The sequence below is a fragment of the Homo sapiens genome, chromosome 1 (genome assembly GCF_000001405.40).
Source record: "Homo sapiens chromosome 1, GRCh38.p14 Primary Assembly".
Lineage (NCBI taxonomy): Eukaryota > Metazoa > Chordata > Mammalia > Primates > Hominidae > Homo > Homo sapiens.
The window spans coordinates 57,606,870-57,630,224 of record NC_000001.11 but is presented as its reverse complement, the minus strand read 5'-3'; the positions used below and the strand labels follow the sequence as shown (position 1 = coordinate 57,630,224).

At 42.0% G+C, this 23,355-nt stretch overlaps 1 protein-coding gene across 4 annotated transcripts in view, besides 2 other annotated features; it reads left to right on the top strand.

Moving 5' to 3' along the window:
- Window positions 1-23,355, top strand: part of DAB1 (DAB adaptor protein 1) — a 1,551,949-nt gene that overhangs the window by 916,502 nt on the left and 612,092 nt on the right. The window lies entirely within an intron of this gene.
- Window positions 6,541-7,040: an enhancer, noted in NCBI's record as "H3K4me1 hESC enhancer chr1:58088857-58089356 (GRCh37/hg19 assembly coordinates)". NCBI's record gives its function as "activates a minimal SCP1, AML or CMV promoter by ChIP-STARR-seq in naive and primed H9 embryonic stem cells {active_cell/tissue: H9 hESC(naive and primed)}" and the evidence as "EXISTENCE:reporter gene assay evidence [ECO:0000049][PMID:30033119]".
- Window positions 7,041-7,542: an enhancer, noted in NCBI's record as "H3K4me1 hESC enhancer chr1:58088355-58088856 (GRCh37/hg19 assembly coordinates)". NCBI's record gives its function as "activates a minimal SCP1, AML or CMV promoter by ChIP-STARR-seq in naive and primed H9 embryonic stem cells {active_cell/tissue: H9 hESC(naive and primed)}" and the evidence as "EXISTENCE:reporter gene assay evidence [ECO:0000049][PMID:30033119]".

Here is a 23,355-nt window from a genome sequence, read left to right as displayed (position 1 = left end):
TGAAATCCGAAGTCACTTCCCCTGATATTTGGTCCTTTGGCTGTTTGTTGCCCTGCAAATGAAATATCTGGATGACAGAACTGAGTGATTTCTCCCTCTTATTTTTGAGTCTCATGTAGCCTCAGACTTTGTTTGCTGCTATGCCATTATCAAAGCATCCAGGTGGAAGGGATATCTCAAGAAATTGGAAATAATCTTGGTTGTCTTTCCTCTATTTGCTCCTTTCATCTTTTTCCTGTTTAATAAGCACAAAGTAAACACAGAACTGATTTTTTTATTCTGAAATGTTATGAACATTAAGCTCTGAGTATTATCATGGGAATGCATTTCATTTGAACTGAGAGGAGCCTTAATGTAATTTTTTAAGGGGGAAAAAAAAAACCCTCAACCTTTGTAATGCTATGACAATATCTCTTTGCTCCGTGGGTCTAGAAGGCCTCCTTCTGGCAGGTCAAGTGTTTCCAAATCAGTTCAGTTTTTTTTTTTTTTCAAGTTCTTGAGCTACCTGGAGATCTAAGTTCTAACTACCTAGGCAGCATTGTGAAAGATTTGAGCCTCTAGTAGGCTCTTGACATGAGTTTCTCCATTTAACTCAGACACACTCCTACCAATTAGTTCACATTATCCCATTTTAGTAATAAGCCAATTACAATTCAAAGTGGTTGAATGATGTGTTATGGTAGCCCTAGAAAACTAACATGTTTCAAAACTCTTCCTCCTTCTCCTTCATATTTAGGTCGTGTTAGCTCCTGGACAGTCCTCCAGTCCCACCTGTCAGATCTCTCTTTCCCCTCCTTACCTCTATAGGGCCCTAGAGCACTCAGGTGTGTTCCCCTAATTAATGGTAGGTGGGTGGGTTTTTCACACAAACACTGCAGCCAGTGGTCACATGAAATCTACATCAGTCTATAAATATTGATACTGTCAAGGCGCAAATAGCTGCTGGCCATTTATAAGAAATGCATGTGTTTCTGACATATGTTTAGTAATCTTTTCTAAAGTAAGCTCAGAATTTCTGCAACATGTAACAGTAAATGTGTCCCTTTCCTGTAGTGCAATACAGAGCAGAGAACTACTCATAAGAATTGTATGAGTTTCTGAAGATTTAATTACTTATATAATTGTATGCATTGTTACATATTTATGTTTTTAATCACAGGTTTAAAATTTGTAAGAACTGTAAGAACTCTTTTAAACTAGAAAAATGCTAAGGAGACTAATGAAGAGAGATCAAATAGGCGGCTAATTAAGTTAATGTGCATTCAATGCTTGGAATAGCACTGGGCACATAGTAAGCTCAATATAAGTGTTAGATGTAATTATTGCTTTGAGACAAAACTGAAAATCTCCAAATACAAAGCATCTTGGGAAATATTGAAGAAAGAGTAAAAACTGGAAATGAGAAGAGTAAAACTTTATCAAACTAATTTGATGAAAGTGCCAGATGAAATAACCAATAAGCTGTAACACCTGGAAACAAAATAGGAAATGTGGGTTGCAAATGTGAGCACTGCAAACAAAGACATTTGGTAATCAGTGAAAGATTTTTTGAATGACTGGTACAAAGGTCATATATGACCAAATAGGGTCGTATATGACCAAAGAGGTTAGATATTTTATAAGTTTTTAATTGTCTGCCTTCAAAACAGACAATGAGCTGTTTTGGATGGGATTTTATGGGACTTATTTAAGTATTTTCAGGGTCTAGTACCTGATACCAAGTGGCCACTCAGCGAATGTGTGATGAGTGAAGTAATGAATGAATGAATGGGTGAATGGCTGACTTAAGGTTCATGAGTTGGACAGGAAAAGGTGGAAGGAATTTACTAAGATAGCCACAATATCTGCCACATCTCTCTTCATATTTGAACTGCCGATTCCTTTGTGTCTTCAAACTGTGACTTCAGCCCGACCTCTAAAATTAATTGCTAACACTTGTGCAGCATATTACACTTTATAAATGCTTTTTTACATGTCAGTGCATTGACTTTGATCTTAAAACATCCCTGGAGTGCCAGACAAAGCAATAGCTGCTATCTGTTTTACAAATGAGGAGTCTGAAGCTCAGAGAGACTGTGACTTGCTCAAGGTCACACCCACGAGGCAGAGTCAGGACTCAGTTCCAAATTATCTCAACCCAAATTGGGTGTTCTTTTCACTTCACCATCGCCTGTGGCAGACAAAGAATGCCATGAATATCTCCACTCTTAGGGGAGTTATAACAGCCTTCCCAGGGAGGTAATAATTGAACTGGGCCTGAAACCATAAGCACTTGGCATCTTCTGCCAAAGTAGCCAGGAAGTAGTGCAAGGAGAGTTAACTCCAAGGATCTTGGAAGGACTAGGCACTGAGACTTGAACAGAGAGTGGAACTAAAGGGCCTGTTGCCCACCCCACCCTCAGTAATTGACATGATGCAGCATATTCTGCTGGGCTTAGGGCCAGTGCAATGCATTTACTCAGTAAATGCAAACAGCATGGGCTATGGAGTCAGGTTTTGGTTCAAATCCTACTTAGGCCCCTTAGTCATTATAAGACCTGGGAGAGATCTCCTTTTCAATTTTCAATTAAAAATATTCATTCAACATTTATTATATGCCATTCAGTGATTAGCTAGATTCTGATGACATAGTGGTTTAAAACAAAATTGCTTCTTCCATTACAAGTTGTCTAGTACTAAACAAGTGTACCATTTCATATGTCATGAGTACACAAAAGTTGTAATGGATAATAAGCAAAGACCTTAGCACATGTCTAGTACAAAGTAATAGTTCCAGCAATGGTAGCTATCTACAACGGCTTGAGAGACATGGTGTATTAGTGAGGGTTCACTAGAGAAACAGAATCAACAGGATATATAGGAAGAGATTTATTATACAGAATTGGGTCACACCATTATAGAGGCTGAGAAGTCCCACGATCTGCCACCTGCAAAGAAAAGCCAGTGAGTATAAGTCAGCTTCAGTCTGAAGGCCTGAGAACCAGGGGAGCCAATAATGTAGATTCCCAGTCTGGGTCCAAAGGTGTGAGAACCAGGAACACCAAGGGCAGGAGAAGATGGCTGTCCCGGCTCAAGCAGTCGGGCAGAAAGGGGTGAATTTCTCCTTCTGCCTTTTGTTCTATTCAGGCCCTCAACAGATCGGATGACTCTCCCTCACACTGGGGAGGACAATTTCTACTTTATTAAATTCACTGATTTAAACTCTAATCTCATCCAGAAACCCCCAGAAGTAGTAGTCTGTGCTCCCTGTGGCCAGTCAAGTTGACTCATGAAATTAACCATCACACATGGCACAAAGGACTGAAAGTTGATGTTTCCCCCACGATTTATACATTGGAATTCTAACCCCCAAGGTGATAGTATTAGGAGGCAGGGCCTTTGTGGGGTGATTAGGTCATGAGGACAGAGTCCTCATAAGTAAGACTAGTGCCTTTATGAAAGAAATCCCAGTGAGATCCCTCACCTCTTCTGCCATGTGGGGGCACAGTGAAAAGATGGCTATCTGTGAAGCAGGAAGCAGGCCCTCACCAGACACCCAATCTGCTGGAGCCTCAATCTTGGACTTCCCAGCCTCCAGAACTATGAAAAATAAATTTATATTATTTATAAACCACCCAATTTATGGTGTCTTGTTAAAGCAGCCCAAATACACTAAGACACAGGGGAAGGTTGTACCTGACCACTCACCCCCTCCATGGCTCTGTGTGGTCCAGTTTCGCTAGCTGCCAGCATTCAAGATGAGATCGTCCTCTGACGCTAATGATCTCTGCAGTTAGATCTCTAGACATCTCAGTGCCTTCACATCTATTAGACATTTTAATTACCACAACCATCCTCTGTGGTGTGAGTATGGTCATCTTCTAGTAATAGATTTAGGCCACCATAGCTTGTGACCCACAGAACACAGCAGGCTAGAGGTGAGCTTCTGCACTGCCCTGGTGTTCCTGCAGCCCAGAGAGCACTGACCATCATCTCCTTAGAAACCTTCACCAGCTCCTCACTGCTACCCAAATAGGAATACAGCCTCCTTGACACTGCATACAGAAGTGCTTCTCAAATGCAGATTTGTGGAAGCAAGCACAGTAATCATGATGAATAATCAAGTTGTCACTGCTTTGAAACAAACTTGAGAAAAAAAAAAGGGATTCCATAATGAGCTTTACCTAAATCTAAATGATCCATTCCAAACTAATATATTTTATTCTTATTGTTTCTTCTATTACTTTAGGTGTTAACTGTCACCCATTTCATATAATTACAATGCTAATAGACAGTATTTTGGTAAATGTCTTTATTTAATAAAATAAAGGTTCGACCCAGCTTTTTTGTTTTATTTTTGAAACTGGCCTATGAAATCCAAAAATAGGGCTTTTGTACTGAGCCAGAACTGGTGTACAACTGTTAGAACTATAAGGCCTTCTCCTTTTGGCCACTCCCCTGATTCCCGGTCTTCACTCTCTCCTTCTGTCTTCCTTTTTCCCCTCCTCCCTTTCCCTCCTCTAATTTAGCAGCCTGACTTTATCTTTTTACCATTCCTTAAAGTCTCTATAATTGCCTATGTCTTTGTGTCTATCCCTGCCCATCCCTTTGCCTGGACACCTTTTTCTCATCCTTCAAGACATACTTTAAAGCTTCATCTTCTATTTAACTTCCCTCTGCTTTCCAAGACAGTGCTAAACACTGTTTTGCCAGAGTGGGTGCTGATTGCCAGTGTAATACTTCCACTTTCTTAGCAGGGTTGTTTGCCTCCCCCATAAAACCCTGAGGCCTACAAGGGCAGAAATGGAGCCATGGCCTTCTTTTTATCCTCTGCTAGTGCCTAGCCCAGTGGCTGGCCTGTCCCTATAGACGCGGTGAGTGAGATAAGGGGGGAGATGGGGCATGAGGCAAACAAACAGAGAGAGGAAATACAGAGAGACACAGCACGGAGACAGAAAGATACACACAGAGAAAAGATAGAGCCAGGAGTAGAAGAAGGAGGAGGGAAAAGGAGGGAGGAAAGAAGAGAAGGAAAGAAAAACAGAAATCTGTTGTGAAAAGAAGGATAAAGGAAAGAGCAAAGGAGGGAAGTAGGGAGAAAAGGACCATGGGAGAGAAGGTTGTTGTGGAACATTTTAAACTCGCCTTCTCAAGGTGAAAATGCCTTCCTTCCCAGCATCCGTCTTTAACACATGCAGGGGGCTTTGACTTGTTGTTGACTTTTCGTCCTATAATTATTTGAATACATTTGCATTAAATTATATTTAGATTTTCATCATCTCTGTAATTTCCCAAGATAAATGGAAAAAAATCTTTAAAAAAATGAAAACGCTATAGACTATGTATTTAACCTTACAAAATTGGCAATTCATTAGAGAAAGAAGGCATTTGCTGCTTTAGCAAAAATATTTTGTTCGAGAAGATAGTGTCTGCCAGCATATGTAGGAAAACTCCCAAATAAGTCTTAGAATGACAGATCTTCATTAGCTTAACTCTAATTTTGAAGGTTTTTTTGGTTAGAAATGTATATATGGCTTTGTTAATGTGGCTTATTAGAAAGCATCTCAATTTCATAAAATTACAACTTACCGTTTGTAAGTGCATAATGTCATCTTTTCTAAGTTTGGATCTTTAAAAGTAAGTGAAAATTAACATTTCAAACCTAATTCTCCAAATAGAGGCAATGATAAATACACAGTTAAGGGTGCCTTTGAATGAAAAAGTGAGTTCTCATTTCAAGTTGGGTATAACCGTCTTAGCAACTATGATCCACGGAGCTCTTAAGCACTAAACACACTCCTTGTCTCATTGAGTATGCCCAACCACATTTTTGTTCCTTTCATCGTTTCCATTTCACCCATATGGAAACTCAACTCTGAGAGTTTAAGTCACTTGGGAAAGGTCATATAGCTGGTAAGTGGCAGAGCTGATTTCATCCTGGTGTCATGTGACACCAAAAGCCTGCAAACCAAAGTGTTCTTCCTGATATGATAAGGATTTACAACCTGTTAAAGACTGATTGATTCACTGACTTCTAGCCTGAAAAGATGAAAGGAGGAAAAAAGGAATTGTAATTTATTAAGTGCCTACTATGCATCAAGCATTTCAATGTATCCTTCCATTTAACTCTGACAACAAACCTGTGGGTTAGGGACTTTCTCCCCTTTGACTCCCAGAGAGGTGAAACAGCTTGCCTGGGGTCCCCAGAGAGACTCTCTAGTCATTCAGATGCCACAATAAGGCATGAAAGCCCAAAGTCTTCATAGCCTGCTTCAGTGGAGGAGAGAAGCATTCTTTGCCAGACTGTGTTTTGTTAGTGCATAGCATGAATTCTCTCATGGACTCCCCACAACAGATCTGTGAAGGAAGCATGCTATCTGGACCTCTTTCTTCACCTTAGAGCAGAGATGGATTTGACTTCAGGGCATGGACAGGTGTAAGAAGACAATCATCTCAGGACCAAGCTGGAACTGGAGAATGCAGGGGGCTTTTTGCAGGTCCAGCCTAGGGACGTTCAAATTCTGACTATTTCAAAACACAGAAGCCTGTGTTTGCAGACCGGCCACAGAAGCCTGTCTGCAGGCCTTGTTTATTCTGTCAGTTCCTTACCCCAGCCTAGTGGGGGATGTGGCCTCTTGCATGTCCCACTCAGTTTACAGAGCCTAACAATATCATTCATACTCTTATTTTAAGACAGTATGGCTGATGCTTCCAACTCTGGTACTCCAAAACCATCCATTCCACTTTCCTGCAGCTTCGAAAGTAGCTCCACACAGTGCTCATGTTATTACAAGACCCTTAATTGTTATTAATTGCCGTTGAAGGTGATGATAATTAACGCACTGTAATGAAGTGCTAGACCACCATCCTGGCATGTGTATTTAACCTGTGCTTGTCTAAGGAGTTCAACAAATTCGACAGAGACCTTCCTGCCTCGGTGCTGAAGAAGAGACAGGGGCGTATGAGTTAATTTGGAGATCCGGAAGCCCTGGGCCACTCCTTCCGTGGGAAGATCTCACCGCCTGTGGCCCATGCTTCCCTGCTTCCTGTCAGCTCTGCCGGCCCCCTGCTGCCAGGCGGCTTTGCTTGATCAGAACAGCAGGCTCGTTTGATGGCATGCCAACACGGATTTCAAACACCAATTACCACTCCGCCGATGACAAATAACGAAGGGAAAAAAAGCAGCAATGATCATTTAATAAATTTATTATGAAGACTAATAGCCCTTCTATAAATCACCCTGCCTTATTATTGAAAAACCTCAATTATTCAGACATGGAGACAACAGGGTTTAATTTTTAAATCATGGAAGCACAACTTCTGGCTGGCCTTAGGAGGACCTTGTAGGATCCTCATGGCCTAAACTAAGGAGTAAAACTCAAAGAAGACCAGGAAGGGGAGACAAATGACTAGGAAGTGCACAGAGCAAACACTGTCTATATTCTAGGTAGGCATTTTCTCATACACTTCATAGAGAAAATCCCATCTAGTCCTCACAAAATTGCACAAAGGCAGCGATGGAGCAGCAAAATGCTTAAGAATATCAGCTTTGGAATTAAGCTAGCCCTAGCTCAAGTCTAGAATCTACCATACCATAGCTGTGTGATCTTGGTCAAGTTACTTAACCTCTCTGTCTCAGTTTCCTAGTCCACAAAACAGGAAAAATGATAGTAGCTACCACACAGACTTGCTGTTGTCATGATTAAACACACTAAAATGTGGTGAATACTTATCACAGAAAACATTCCATATGTTATCATTAAGTCAGTTATTATTTCTGCACTTTATGTATAAGAAGATAGACTATCATCAACATTTAATATCTCATCCACAGACATACAGCTAATAGTGCAGCCTGGATTCAAACCCATATCTATGTCCAGCTCTGCCACCCTAGTCTAGCCTCACAACTTTTCTGTGTGAGTGGGGTAATGTCAAGGTTTGCAGTGACAGGATTTACTGGGCAAAAGATGCCTTGCACAGTCCCCTTCATCTCATTCCAAACCCGAAGTAAGAGTCTCTCCTCCTGCCTCCATGCCAGCTGTCTTCTAATGGGTAGAAACGTTAACACCCCCAAAGGGTATAACTGAAAATACAGGTCTCTTATTTCTGAAACTGATTGAAAACATGCATACTCACCTTTTCTGTTTGTTTGTTTTTGTTGTATGTTTCTTTAATAGTCGAGTATAAATACCTGCCCTCCCACCTCTCCTGTTTCTTATCACACATTGCATCACACATTTAAGCTACTGCAGGACTGCTCAGGGCATTTGAGTCTGGACTCCACTGCCAAAGCCTACTGATGCCTTGCTCTATGTCTGTGTCTCTGTATACAAATAGCTCAAGAGCAATATGCAGAAGATTGAGTTTGGTCAAGCAACTGGTTAGTTCAAAAAATATCTCAGTCAAGAAGTAATTGGGGGCCTATCTGTATCAGGCAAGGAACCTGGCAATGAAACCATACAAATGAGGGAAGCATTAGTACTTTGGAATATGGTTTTGATTGCCTTCAGAGGCAAGTCAGTCACTCTCTGCAGCGAGAATCCCACTTAATACCAAAGAGATGCAACAACATTTACTGAGCACCTGCTAGTGCTGGATCACATGCCAGATCCAGAGGCGCAGGTGTGAGGGATCATGTGTGCACCTTTCCACGGAGGAACTTACAATCGCCTAGCCTCAGAGTCCCCAGCCTAAACCCTCTTAGGGACAACCTCAGTTTCCCCCAAACCCTGCAGAAACTGGAAATCCTGAGTAAGCCCCAGCATTGTTCAAAAGTACAGAAGTAAAGATAGAGGGTAGGAGAGCCCTTCAGTGAGGGTTCATGAGTTCTGCGCCCTCTTCCCCACCCCCACGCACTATCCCAGCTTGTTATTCCCTCACAAAAGCAGTAAAATTACTGAGTAAAAGGAAGGCCTTTTATCATTTTCAGGCCAACTCTCCCCCATCTCAGGGCTCCTACACACGCACACACACACACACAACAATCTCACTCCCTCTCTTAAACGCAAACTCAAGCTCATGAATTCTCTCACACACGTGCATGTGCACACACACATACACACACACACACTCAAGCTTATGAATTCTGTTGTCTCCCCCAATACACACAAGTTCAAGGTCATGAATTCTGTCTCTCAGTCTTATGCACACAAACACATTCTCAGACAAACAGGCACACAAGCTTAACCTTGTGAATTCTGTCTCTCTCTCTCTCACACACACACACACACCCAGACACAAACACACACACACACCCCTTGTGACCAACTCTTTGAACCCAAGGCAGAAGGTGGGCATGAGAAAGTAGGCCAGTCTGCAAATTGTCTTGTCAGTGAGGAAGCAACAATCTGGAGCAGAAGGCAACACAAACAAAGCTCTGCGTGCTGTTGCTGCTAATGATTTAGGGCAGTAGGTGTGTCTGCCGCGCTGCCCCCCTGCTTCCAGACCCAGAGCCTGTGACACTGCAGCTGTTACGTCCTCCTCCTACCTCCTCCTGTCTAGCTCTCCCTCTCTGCATCTGTGTTCTCTCCCCTACTCCTGCTGCTGCTGGCCTGAGAAGGAAAGCATGAGGACAGGCAGCACATCTTTTAGGTGTCTGGGTGCCTGGCACTGTGCCACATGTTGGGTACCTCTTATCTCAAAGCCCTCTTTAATCCAACCCCTTCCCTTCACTCTCACCCCAGGTTTTGCTGATAGTTGTATCTGCGGGTTTATCCCCTCATGGGAAACACTCTATTTCTGTACATATTTCAAAAGTCAAGTTCACTCAATTACCAGTCAGTCATCTGTTTAATAAGCATTTTTTGAGATTCATCTCATACAAAACTAGCATTTTCCCTGGAGTCCTGGAAACAAGTCCAGAGGGACCTATCATTCTCGTTTAACCCTGTAAACATTGGTTGAGTAAAGGAATCTTCCCCATCACCCCATATGTACCTATGTAAGAGAATAGGTTAGGACATCCAAACTCATCATCTGCTTGGCCTTGTGTGAAATTTTCCTGTGGAAAGCCCAGACCCCTTCTCGCACTGAGCTCCTCTACTGGGAGGTTCTCCTTTCGGGGCGGAGTCTCAGCTGGCACCAGAGAAACAAATTCTCCAGGATTGCCATTTTTGCTACCCCTGAAAACAAGCCCGCAAGCCTGCTCTGGAGGGAATGACCATGGATCCCTGTTGGAAGCAGGCAGATAGTAACGAAGTAACAAATACAGTAAAGGCGAGGATTCTGGGATGTGTCAAATGTCTCCAGTCGTTGTTCTTGTCACCAGCTCAGTCTTTCTGTGCCTTGACAGTCTCTAGCAGCCTTGCTGTCCTGTTCTGCGTCTCAGGTGGTATTCATGCCTGCTCAGCCCTTGGTCAGAGTCCCACTCTGCTCTGGATCCAGTTGACCCCTCCCCTCCTTGAAGTCCTCCCTGACCTCCATTTTCCCAGGATGAAGCTTGGCAGTTGGACAAAGAAGGATTGTCCCTGCTGGCCCTAAAATATTTCATAGGACACTCTTGGCCAACTCCATCTCTCTAAAGCTCCAATTCTTTATCTATAAAATAGGGGCCCTGACTCATGTCTGTAATCATAGCACCGTGGGAGGCCAAGCGGGGAGAAACACTTGAGCCCAGGAGTTCAAGACCAGCCTGGCAACACAGGGAGACCCTATCTCTACAAAAATAGTTTAAAAAATTAGCCAGGCCTGGTAGCATGCCCCTGTGGTCCTAGCTAATTGGAGGCTGAGGTGAAAGGATCACCTGAGCCCAGGAGTTTGAGGCTTCAGTGAGTTATGATTGCACCACTGCATTCCAGCATGGGCAATAGAGCAAGATTCTGTCTCAAAAAATAAAAAATAAATAGATGACTTAATAGCCTCAAAATGTTGTAGTTAAGAAGGATAAGGCAAATCATGCTCCTAGCACAGCGTTGTCATGTACCAGGTGCTCCATAAAAGTTAGTTCACTCTCTTTATTCCTCACCTGATAGGGCTATCTCCTTAAGCGAGGTTTTGTCCCCCTAACTGTTTAATGGATACTTGTCCTGCAGGATGCTCCATAAAAAAGGATCTCTAACTGCTACCCATCATATTCCTGTCATAAAGGATATTAACACTTTAGGTCCTGAGGAGTCCTGCAGTTTAAATAAATCCATTGAATCCATTGTTTTCTTCATTACCCTTGACAAAATGAGCACATTGTTTGCTTAGAAACACCTACGTAACATACTCTGTGTTTTACAAAGGTTAACTCATTTAATTCTCATGACAGCTCTGTAAGGTGAGATATTATCATTAGCATCTTTTTAAAAGATGATGGAATTATAGCCTATAGCACAGAGCAGTTCAGTCAGTTGCCCAAGGTCACAAAGTTGTTGCAGAGCCAGGATTTGACCACAGTCTGTCTCCAGGATCTAAATTCTTATCCACTGTACTCAGCTGTCTCTCTAGTTTAAATATACACACACACTCACACATATATACATGTGTATGTATATGCTGATTCTGCAACTAAAAAAATAGTAATGCTATTATCTGTGTAATAGCTGTTAATATTCTTAAAAAACATTAATTCCAAAAGGCTCCGGAAAGGCTGCCTGAGACTCTCTCCTGCTCTCATTTATCACCACTTGGTGACTTGGTCCCATCACAGAACCCAGCACCCCTGTCCACCGTCTAAGCTCCCCTGTGGACAGGTGCACTGTTTAGGAATCACTTCTCAAATGTAAAAGCAAAGTACCAGAACCCACAGGATCTTCTTTCCTATTTCTCACTTACTGACACACTTCCCAGCCAACCCCTAAAGGAAGACTTGTCAGCCTGCTGCTGCTGCTTTTTTTTTTTTTTTTTTTTGACAGTCTCACTGTGCCACCCAGGCTGGAGTGCAGTGGCATGATCTTGTCTTACTGCAACCTCCACTTCCCAAGTTCAAGTGATTCTCCTGCCTCAGACTTCCAAGTAGCTGGGATTACAGGCATGCACCACCATGCCCAGCTAATTTTTGTATTTTTAGTAGAGATGGGGTTTCACCATGTTGGCTAGGCCGGTCTTGAACTCCTGACCTCAAGTGATCCACCCACCTCGGCCTCCCAAAGTGCTGGGATTACAGGCGTGAGCCACCGCGCCCAGTCTTCTTCTCCTTTAGTATGATATTCTTTCCTGTATCAGTGGAGTCTGCAGAGAGGGTGCATCTTTTATTTCCCTTTTCCTGAGGAAGAAGATCTCTTCCCTGGAGTTTTTGTTCTAGTCCAGAAATCCTTCAGTGGGTCTTCTTAACATCACACTCATAGTCCCTTATTTGTAAGCAGCAGGAAGTTCTTTTCTAGGTAAAATGAGAAGTTATGTAAGTGTGGAAATCACCAGATATTTAGGTAGCATGTCCCAAGTGCCCAATTCTGTGCTAGGCAAATAGAACCCAGGTACCTTTTGTCTTTTATGGCAGGAGAATGTTCATGAATGAGCAAACAAGCACAGGTGAGTCTTGGGAAAAGGAGTTTGAAATTTCTTCGATTTCAGTACCTCTGATTCTCTGTTTTCCCATTTTCATTCACAACACAAGTTAAAGTCACCTAAAAAGTGTCATTTTATAAAATGTCAGCAAAGCAAGGGACCTTAGAGATCTTCTAGCTCAGGGTTTGTCAAACAGGTTTTCTCTCCAATGCCAGTGTCAAAGGAGTGGAAGTGTTGCTTGAATTGCGGAGGTGACAATTTTAAGATGGCATCTGAGCTTGTAGGGCAAGAGTGTTCTGATCAATGCAGTGATGTATGCCAAGGGACCCATCTTAACTTGGGTTCTTCCTTAGATGTTGGGCTTGAGACGGGGTACTTGTGGAAAATATTTAGTAAGGAGCCTCTCAGAAGGGGAGAGAGACAAGCAGGCTGAAGGCAGAGTAGAAAGTTAAACAAGGATGTGGTCTCAGCTGGGGACCAACCTGGGCCACTGCAGTGTGAATTGAGGCAGGGGGCTAACCTCTCGTACACTGGCGGTTGGTCATTGGCTATGGATGTGGGGATGGGAATGGTTCATACCCCCAGCCTGGTGGCTCTCCTCAGCAGAGGGCTATTCTTGGAAGAAGGGAGCAGCTGTCAGTCATTAGCAGCTGACACTCACAGCAGCTGGGCAGTATGTGCACCAGCCCAGGAAAGGGAGTCTGGGCAGGGTACCAAGAATGTCCACTACTGACACAGAGTGACAGAATGACGGTCCACTGGCTAGGCAGTTAGCATCCTTAAATAGAGCACATCAGCTCATTTACAGGTGAGAAATCTGATGCCCAGAGGGAAACACTCAAGTCAAAATTCCTTTGCGTACCCTCAGGTTCCTCCACAGTTTGGCTCTATGCTTAGTTACCAATCCTCTGCCACCCTCAGAGCATGGCAGACCTGCTAGTCCTGTTGATGCCTTGTTCCCCAGGGATTCTGACACTTCTCCTACCACCTTGCTTTTGGTCATGCTTTTCCTACTCTGGCAGTATGTGAAATATCCTCCCTCACTTTTCTATTGAGCAATTCAAAATACCCTGTAGACCCATTTCATAATATTTGGATAGATACGGCCATCACAGATTGCCTAAAGGGGGTCTTAGCCCCTTTAAAAAGAATCTGAAAGGATTTATATTCCCAGAGCAGGTGATCTGTAGGAAACCATAGATTATCTATAATGCCTGCGCTGCCATTATAGATCTCCTATAAGTACCTACAGAACATTATAGATTTCTTGTAGAATCCCACAGATTGCCTATGGTAATTGTGTCATGTTAAATAGTCTTTCATTCAACTGTCTGTTGAGTGTTTACTATGTTTGGAGAAACCAGGTGAGCAAAACTGACAAGGTCTTTGCCCTTATTCTAAGCATTAAAAAAAGATTCAATATGCAGGAAACGAATACATAATTTCAGATGGTGTTAAGTGCCATTGAGAGTGACTGAGGAAAATATTCAAATTTCATACGTCAAGGAAAGACTTCTCGAGAAGGTAACATCTGAGCTGAGATCTGAACAGTGAGATAGAGTCTTCTCAGGAAGGTCTGAGAAAAGATCCCTCTGGACAGAAGAAACAGGAAATGTACTAGCCCAGAGGAAGGAATGAGCTCAGCATAATTCAGAAGCAAAGGAAATGTCGGGGTGTCCAGGAAGTGGTGAGTGAGCAAATGAGGGAGGGGCCATAGTAAGAACACTGGACAGGTAGTAGGGGTAAAGAAATAAAAGCCACAGTGCCTTCCCTCAGACACACTCCATTCTTATAGGGCGCTTGTAGATAGCAGCAGTTAGTACCCTTACTATTCTAGTAAGACCATCTGTGGGTATTTACAGCACTGTTTCAGTACTTACAGGGGCCCTCACACTCAGCTATGACGATAGTATTTCATTATGAACTTCCTGTAGGAACATGACATGTCATCTCCAGTCATGAGTTGTTAGTGATGACCTGAAGACATGTAGTTCCACTGTAAACCCTTAAGATGCTTTCAGTTGGTAAAGCTTGCTAATTGTGTTTGCAGTATCACTAAGAATTGCTTGGAGACTGTTTTTAAATCCAAGACTGTTCCAAAGAACTTTTTTTTCTTTGACTCAATTCTCTCTCCCTTTTATTGATTCACATGGGAAATTAATCCCAAACAAGTATTTGGTACAAATGACAGCACCTAGCTACAAACATTTCCCCCAGTGTTGTCAGTTAGGATTAGTTACAGTTCCAAGTAGTACGATAATACTGGTTTAAATAAGAGAGAAGTCTGTTTCTCTTTCACAGATAAGTCAGAAGTTGATGGTCCTAGGGTGGATTTGGCAGTGCTACTCTGTGAAGTCCTCAGGAATCCAGGCTCCTTCCAGCTTCCTGCTCTGTCCTTCAGGATGGCTCTTCAGCCATTACATCCACGTTCCAAGTAGCAGATGTAGAAAGAAGAAAAAGCAAGACAGCATGCTAGTTATTTGTTGAAGAAAGCTTCAAGAAAATGTCCGAATATACTTCTGCTAACCTTTGACCAGAACTTAGTCATGTGGACACGAAACAGCAAAGGGGCTGTAAAATACAGTATTTATTCTTGGAGGGCACAGGCCTGGAAGAATATTCTCTTACTAAGAAAGAAGACAGAGGCCGGGCGCAGTGGCTCATGCCTGTAATCCCAGCACTTTGGGAGGCCGAGGCGGGTGGATCATGAGGTCAGGAGATCAAGACCATCCTGGCTAACATGGTGAAACCCTGTCTCTACTAAAAATACAAAAAAATTAGCCAGGCGCGGTGGTGGGTGCCTGTAGTCCCAACTACTCGGGAGCTGAGGCAGGAGAATGGCGTGAACCCGGGAGAGGGAGTTTGCAGTGAGCCGAGACAGCAGCACTGCACTCTAGCCTGGGCGACAGAGCGAGACTCCATCTCAAAAAAAAAAAAAAAAAAAAGAAAGAAAGAAAGAAAGAAGGCAAAAATGGATAATGAGGAGAAATCAACAGCTTTTACAATATCCACTATGGAAACAAAATTCACATTAGTAAAAATGCCCCAAACCAGTGGTCGCTAGCCCTAGGATGTTAAGAAACAGTAAAACTAAATTTACAAAGAGAAGGAGTCCAACATAGCACTGGCAACCTATAATTTTTCCAAGCAAGGATGTGAAAAACAGCTTAAACCTATCACCCACTGTCACAATCATCTCATAAGGAAAGAAGACTGTATCACAAAAGAAGAAAGGACTTACTTACTCCTTACAAATGTTTTAATGGATTAAATTTAGCTTTTGTGGGAGGGAGGAATAAACTTATTTTTTTCATTTCACCACAAAACAGTGAAAGCTTCATCATGGACCAGTATTATTAAGTGGTGCTTCAAACTGAAAGCATTTCTTTAAGACAGTATGACACTTTCTGTTTCTAAAAGCTCCTCCAAGTTGCAATAATAATGACCATTTATCTAGAGCACAAACCATTAACTGATGGACCTTAGGCCAGGTTCTGTTCATAGATGTTGTGTTTGATCTGATCAGTAATTTGGGGTTTGTTTGTTTGTTTTTAACTTTGAATTTGCTGTGAACATTGAAAGCTTAAGAGATTTTACATAAAAAATAATAATCATTCTTGCTTCTTTTGAAAAATGAGAAGTTCTGGCACACCAGGGCCCTCATTTCCACATGGTCACTCCCAGCTGGATGCAGCACAGCAGCAGCTGCCCCTTTCGATGGGCACATACTTGCCAATTCATTACGGGTCCACCTGGACAGCCTCTCCTTTATGCAACATGCCAGGTCCCTGTGGAAACCTGAGTTTGTGACTCCTCATTTCCTGCTACCGATATACAGGTATTTAGATACATACTTCTAAACTTCACATCAACCTGAAAATGAAACACTATTATCCCCTTTCTACTAGAGCAAAGAACAAAGGAGTACTTTGACTTGCCCAGGACTGAAGCTAATAGGTGCCCACCTGGAATTTGAACCCAGGTCTCTCCGACTCCAAGGCCGTTGTGCCTTTCGCTGTACCACCCTAGCTTCCAGCAGGCTTCTGACCCACATCTCTGTCAGCCCTCGCACAGGTAGAATTATTCATGCCATCTGGTTTTTAAGACTTTGTTAGAATTAGCTGAGAAAAGTTTTGAATTTCCTGTTTCTCTTGCAGTATTATTTTAGACTCTTTTTCGTATTTATTTTTGAGGGGGAAAATATCCTGGGGAAGGAATGGTGGTTCAGAGAAGAACATCGCCATCTATCATGCAGACACAGCATGCATTTAAACAGCTCTGAGTACATAAATTGGTTACTTAATCGGCCCTAGCTAATCCATAGAGTGAAGAAACCGAACTACACTATGGGAAACAGCTTTTATACATGGGGTGCACATATCTGACAGAGCCTAGGGTTCTTGGAGCAGCTGCTGAGTGAGGCTCAAGGCCTTCTGACCCTCCCACCTGCTGTAGGCTCTCAGTGCCTCATGGGTAGGTGTTTTCAGATCATGAGGACAAGCTGGATCCTTTCATTAGAGAAGCAATTCTGAAACAGAATGAGAATTTTAAAATGTGTATGTCTTTGAGTTTCTTTTCATTCACAACTGGACTTCTTTACTATAAGCTCAGATAGGGAAAAACATAAAAATAATACTAGCTGCTATATTCACATTACACACATTCCAATTTTCCTTGTAAAAGACTACATACTTATGAAGCATATTTAACTATGACATTATCAACTATTTCCAGATCATTCAATTTGACAAATGTATGCTACTTCCTTCAAATCACCTGAGTTGTGTTGACTGCTGTGTGTCAGGCACGAAGGGGAATAGGTGTGTGGACAGCAATAAGGTACAGTCCTTGCCCTCAAGCCACTCTTAGCCTCATGTAGAAGACACCCATGTACACATACCGTTCATGGTTTCATTCACTGATGCAACAAATCCTTTTTTTAATGCCTCCTATGATCTAAGCACTATTCTAGGAAATAATCCCTATATTTATAAAGTTTACAGTTTACATTCTAGTTGGGGGGTGGGGATGGATTCATTTCCTGTGGTCACTATAGCAAAATACTACAAACTTAGTAGCTCAAAACAATGTGAATTTATTATTTTAAGGTTCTGGAAATCAGAAGTCAGAAATCCATTTCACTGGGCTGAAATTAAGATCTTGGCAGTCCCATTTTCCTTCTGGAGGCTCTAGAATCCACTTTGTTACCTTTTCCAGCTTCTAGGAATGCCTGCACCTGTATTCCTTGACCCGTGGCCTCTTCCTCCATGTTCAAGTCCAGCAGCATAGCATCTTTTCTCTTCCCTGACCCCTGATTCTGTCCTTACATCTTCTCTCTCTGACTCTGATCCTGCATCTCCCTTTAATAAGAACCCTGTAATTATATTGGGCCCACCCAGATAATTCAGAATAGTCTCCCCATCCCAAGAGCACTAATCCAATCATATCTGCAAAGTACGTTTACCATGTAAGGTAACATAATCACAGGTTTTGGGGATTAGGACAGGATGTGGACATCTTTGAGACCATTATTTACCCTACTACAGGGACAGACAGTGAACAACTAAATTTACACACACACACGCACACACATGCACACACACACACACACACACACAAGATCATGCCAAACATGGATATGTGAAAATGGCATAGGATGAAGGCAGAGAGCAAGACAGGAGCTATTTTAGGTAAGAGATGGGTCTTAGGAGGTGACATTTATAGCTGAATGAGTGAGGGAATGAGTCCTGGGGATGTCTGTGTGTGGGTGCTGGAAGCTGAGTAATCAGTAGGAACAGCAATGCACAGAATCTGAGACATGAATGAGCTTAATGTGTTGAAAAAGCAAAGAGGCCAGTGACACTACATAACAGTTGGCAGGGGGGTGGGTCTTATGAAGGAAGTCAGGTATGGAATTTCGAGTTTATTCTAAGTGCAATAGGAAGACCTTAGAGGATTTATAGCAGAGGAATGAGGTATCTTGATTAATATTTTCAAAAATACTATTCCTTTAGGAGATCTGATTGCTGGGGTGGCAAGAGTAGATGTAGCAAGGCCTGCTAGGGGCTGCTGCCAGATGGCCCAGGACAGGCATGATGCAGGCTTGAGTTTGGGTGATATCAGTGGAGGTGGAGAGAGGTGCTCAGAGTCAAAGTACACCAGGAAAGGTTAACTTGCTTGGCTTGCCAGTGTACTAGCTGTGGAGGCTTGGATGAAAGGGTGAATTCAGAGGACATCTAGGCATGGGATCTAAACGGCACTATGAGATAGGTGTCCTGCAACACTAGAGAGATGGCTAAGCCACAGTTGCAAATTTTATCAATAACTTCATTGTAGACAAGTAGACTTTGTTCACTACAATAATAACTATTCAGATTTATGCATATAATCAGCCTTTGCCTTATGTTTTTATTCTTTTCCCTCAAAAGAAATGCTGGTACTGTGGAATCTGTGATGCAGGAGGTGATAGAACAATAAACATTCTGGGAGTGTCCTCAGGAAAGAGATCTGTTTCAGCTGAGTTACCTAAAAGGGAAGGCAGGAACCTTGCTGCTGAGCAGGGCAGTGGCTCTCACCTGTTAACTCTTGGAGTCTACCTGGAGACCTGCCTATGCCGGGTGCCTGAGTTTGGGAGGCCTGAAACTGGCACACTTGGAAAGATAAATGCAAAAAAAAAAAAAAAAAAGCCACTGCACGCCAACAGTGAGATAGCTGAGCAGAATTGTCAACAACAGTGTACTGATTTATTCTAGTGCAAAAGCAAGCATGAGTGAAACTTGAGGGTTGCTAGATAAGCATCTGCCTTCCAGGAGTTTATAGTCCAAAAGAAAGATAAGCATCCAGAAGTAACTAGAACCCTGGGTGCAAAGTTAAGCACTCAAGGCACTGACTTCTGAAAATTAAATGAAAAATCAATCAGATCACATGCAAGACTGATATGGTTTGGCTGTGTCCCCGCCCAAATCTCATCTTGAGTTGTAATCCCCAGATGTTGAGAAACGGACCTCATGGGAAGTGAATTGATCATGGGGGTGGTTTCCCTCATGCTCTTCTCATGATAGTGAGTGAGTTCTCATAAGACCTAATGGTTTTATAAGCGTCTGGCATTTCCCTTGCTGGCATTCACTCTCTCTCCTGCTGCCCTGTGAAGAGGTGCCTTCTGCCATGATTGTAAGTTTCCTGAGGCCTTCCCAGCCATGTGAGTCAATTAAACCTCTTTTCTTTATAAATTACCCAGTCTTGGGTATTTGTTATTAGAAGGGTGAGAATGAACTAATACAAAGGCAGTGTAGTTTTGGTTAAAAGCCTAGGTTCTGGAACCAGACTGCTGGGGTCAAACAAAACTTTGCCAGGTGACATTGGGCAAGTCCCATAATCACTCTGGGCCTCTTATTTCCTTATCTGTACATCAAGACTGACAATCATGCCTTTCTCATGGGCTTAAAATGAATCAACATGTGTACAGTGCTCAGATTAGTGCCTGGTTCATGGTGAGGCTCAGCAAGAATCAATGATTATTAATGCATATCAGAAGCTTTTGACTTAAAAGCTCAATAACTGGGACCTACTTTTACTATTATATAGTGGAAAAGATGAATTCACTCCACTTCAACAGGAGTGTCTTACAAGCCTACTGTGTGCTCAGAATGAAAAGATAACTGGCAAGTCTTGAACTGCAGAGTCTTCAGTATGGAAGAGAGGACAGATCAACAGCAACACAGTTCAATGAGTGGAAAGAGGGCTCCAAGAATCAAGGGCTGAGGAGCCACAGGGAGCAGCATGCCAGCAGAGGATTCTAGTCCAGTACCCGGCAATTAGTGGGTGCCCAGGAAATATGCATCCCTGCAGCCATTTCCAAATAGTGCTAACTTCGTACCTGTCCAGAAGAATTCTATTTGTCGAGTATGTTATTTTTTAAATACAACAGGACTGTCTCAAACAAAGTGATCATAAATTTGAGATGTATGCTAAAGTGACTAAACAAGATGTTTTAACATCTGGAGTGTAAAAAAAATGGTGGGGTCTGTGTTTCTAAGTTTATTTTTTGACATAATGCTGAAACTTTAGCAAATATATTGTTTGTTAAAATAGCATTTTAGATTTATTTTGCCTTTTAGAATTTTCAAAGTGCCTTCATGTTACTTTATTTAATCTTAAAAAACCAGCGACTATCTATCCTGAATTTTCAGATGAGGAAACCGGGATCCATTTATGTGGCCAATGGCAAGTAAAGGAAAATGCATGAAGGCATACCAACTAATGAACTGCTCTTTTTTCCCTTTTAGATTGTAAAGTTGTCCCTGGGTATTCGTGGGGGAATTCGTCTCGAGGATCCCCCTCAAATACAAAAACCCACTGATGCTCAAAGTCCTTATATAAAATGGTATAATATTTGCATATAACATACACACATCCTCCTGTATCTTTTAAATTATCTCTAGATTACTTATAATACCTAACACAATGTCAACGCTACACGAATAGTTGTACTATATTGCTTAGGGAATAATAATGAGAAAAAAAGTCTGCATATGTTCAGTACACATACGATCATCAATTTTACTTTCTGAATATTTTTGATCCGCAGTTGGTTGTATCCACAGATGCAGAACCCACAGATACGGAGAACTGACTGTATTTATTATTTCAGGAAAGCTTCCAGCCTCTAGTCCAGGGATTACAAATGCAAATGCCTATTGGGGCCATGCTGAGAACAAAAGGTATAAATAGGTTTGATATAAGGTCAGAGGGAGTTGGACCCGGCTAAACTGGGGAGTGTAAGGCACACCCAGGCATTCAAATTGCTATTTATATTTATAACTTGCATTTTTATGATACATAATTTTATCAAGGCAGAATTAAGCTCAATACCGCATGTCTTCACAATAACTTAAAGATGGTGAGAGTGAACGATTTCCCCTATTTGACAGATAAGGAAACCGAGGCAGAGTGAATTGACTTCAAGTTAATAGAAGAGCTTAACCACCAGCCACTAGAATGTAGGGGTTAAGAACATATGTTTTGGAACCTGGTAGATTTAATATAGAAACTTGGATTTGTAGCTTGCTGAGCTCTGAGTTGTTGAGAAGTTACTTAACCTTACTGAGCCTTAATTTCCCTGTCTGTGTAATGGGAATAATAATGTTCACCTGAAAAGTTGTTTGAATACTAAGTGTGATCCCACACATAAGTATTTAGCCCAACATCTGGCATATCACAAGTATTTAATACTAATTTGTTTGATGGTATTAATTAAAAGGAGAATAACTCAAGTCTATTGATAAGTGCAGGTTTTTACTCACGGCCTGCCAAGCTTTCAGATATGAGGATTCAAAAGCTTTACTGGAAATTCTTTTAGAATTATACCAGTGATGAAGCACAAGCAAGGGGGCAATGCATTTCTCTCTCTCTCTCTCTCTTTTTTTAATATCTTCACAGCATGTTGGTTGTATGACCAGAGAACAGATATAAATTTACACATGGGAGAGAAAATCATAGATTGTCAGAGCTGGAGGTGATCTTACTTTTCAGCTGAAGACACTTACCCAGAGAGGTTACATTGTGTATGTGTGTGTCTGTGTGTGCATTCAATTTTAATATATTTATAGTCTGTTTTGTATATATTTTATATTACATGTCATATGTGTATGTATATATATGTGTGTGTATACACATATGTACAGTCATATCTCCCAGGGGGTGGGAGGTGTAGCCTAGAGTATAGAGATTTTTTCTGGGTATGTGCATGCCTGGGTCTTCAGGTATTATAAGCTGCATATGGGAGTAGAGGAAGAAGAAAGGGCGTTGGCTGTCCAGCAGTTATTTTTGCCCCATGTTGCATGCTCTGTCTTACCTGGCAAATCTGAATGCTGACCCCTCTGTGGTTCTGCCTGGCTGGTGACTATGCTTGTCAGCTGAATCTACTCCACTCCTGACAGTCATTACTGGACTGTTTAATCCAGGACCTATCACCCATCTGCCTTCAGACTTTCTTAAATGTGCTTACTTCTCTCATGTGCTGATGGGCCCTCTCTCATTTATTATCCCCTCTGTCTTTTTGTTAGTTCTTTAATTTTAATGACATCATGGGAGAAAGAGGAAATAAATGTGTGTGATGCAACTAAATTCTTTACATAAACAAGATTCATTTGAGTGGTAAAATAAAATTTGAACTGGGCGGTGTTTAACCCAAACCAGAAAGACCTAAAGTAGGAGCAATGCAATGGTCAGGCGAGAGATGATGAGGCTGACATAGGGCACAGGCTTTTGTATAGGATGCAAAGGAATACATTTTAGGTATGTTTCCAAGATCAAATTCAAAAGATTTCACATGACTGGGTAGACAATAACTCTTAAAAATAGGGAAGGCAGAAGGAAAAACAAGTTTGAAGAGAAGATAAAGAATTCAGTTTGGTCATGTTAAGTCACATTGGGCATTACAGAAAACTAATGTTTGCACAAAAAAGATGAAGGCGTCATACAGAAAAATGTGTGACTGGTAGGGAATGTAATTGGAGAAACGTTCACATTAGTAACTTTTAAACCTTTTGGACTATGACCCAGTATATGCACACATGCAACCAAACACAGCTCAAAAAATCACACCTTTAACTTTGATAGACTATGATATTTTCTGTTATTCAATTTAATTTAAATAAAATTCCAGTCAAAACTCACCAAACTGATTTAATGATTCACCAACACATCATGAAAAATATTGGATTAGGCTGGGCATGGTGGCTCACACACCTGTAATCCCAGCACATTGGGAGGCCGAGGCAGATGGATCATCTGAGGTCAGGAGTTCGAGACCAGCCTGGCCAAAATGGTGACACCCCGTCTCTATTAAAAATACCAAAATATCAGCCAGACGTGGTGGCAGGCACCTGTAATCCCAGCTACTTGGAGGCTGAGTCAGGAGACTTGAACCCTGGAGGTGGAGGT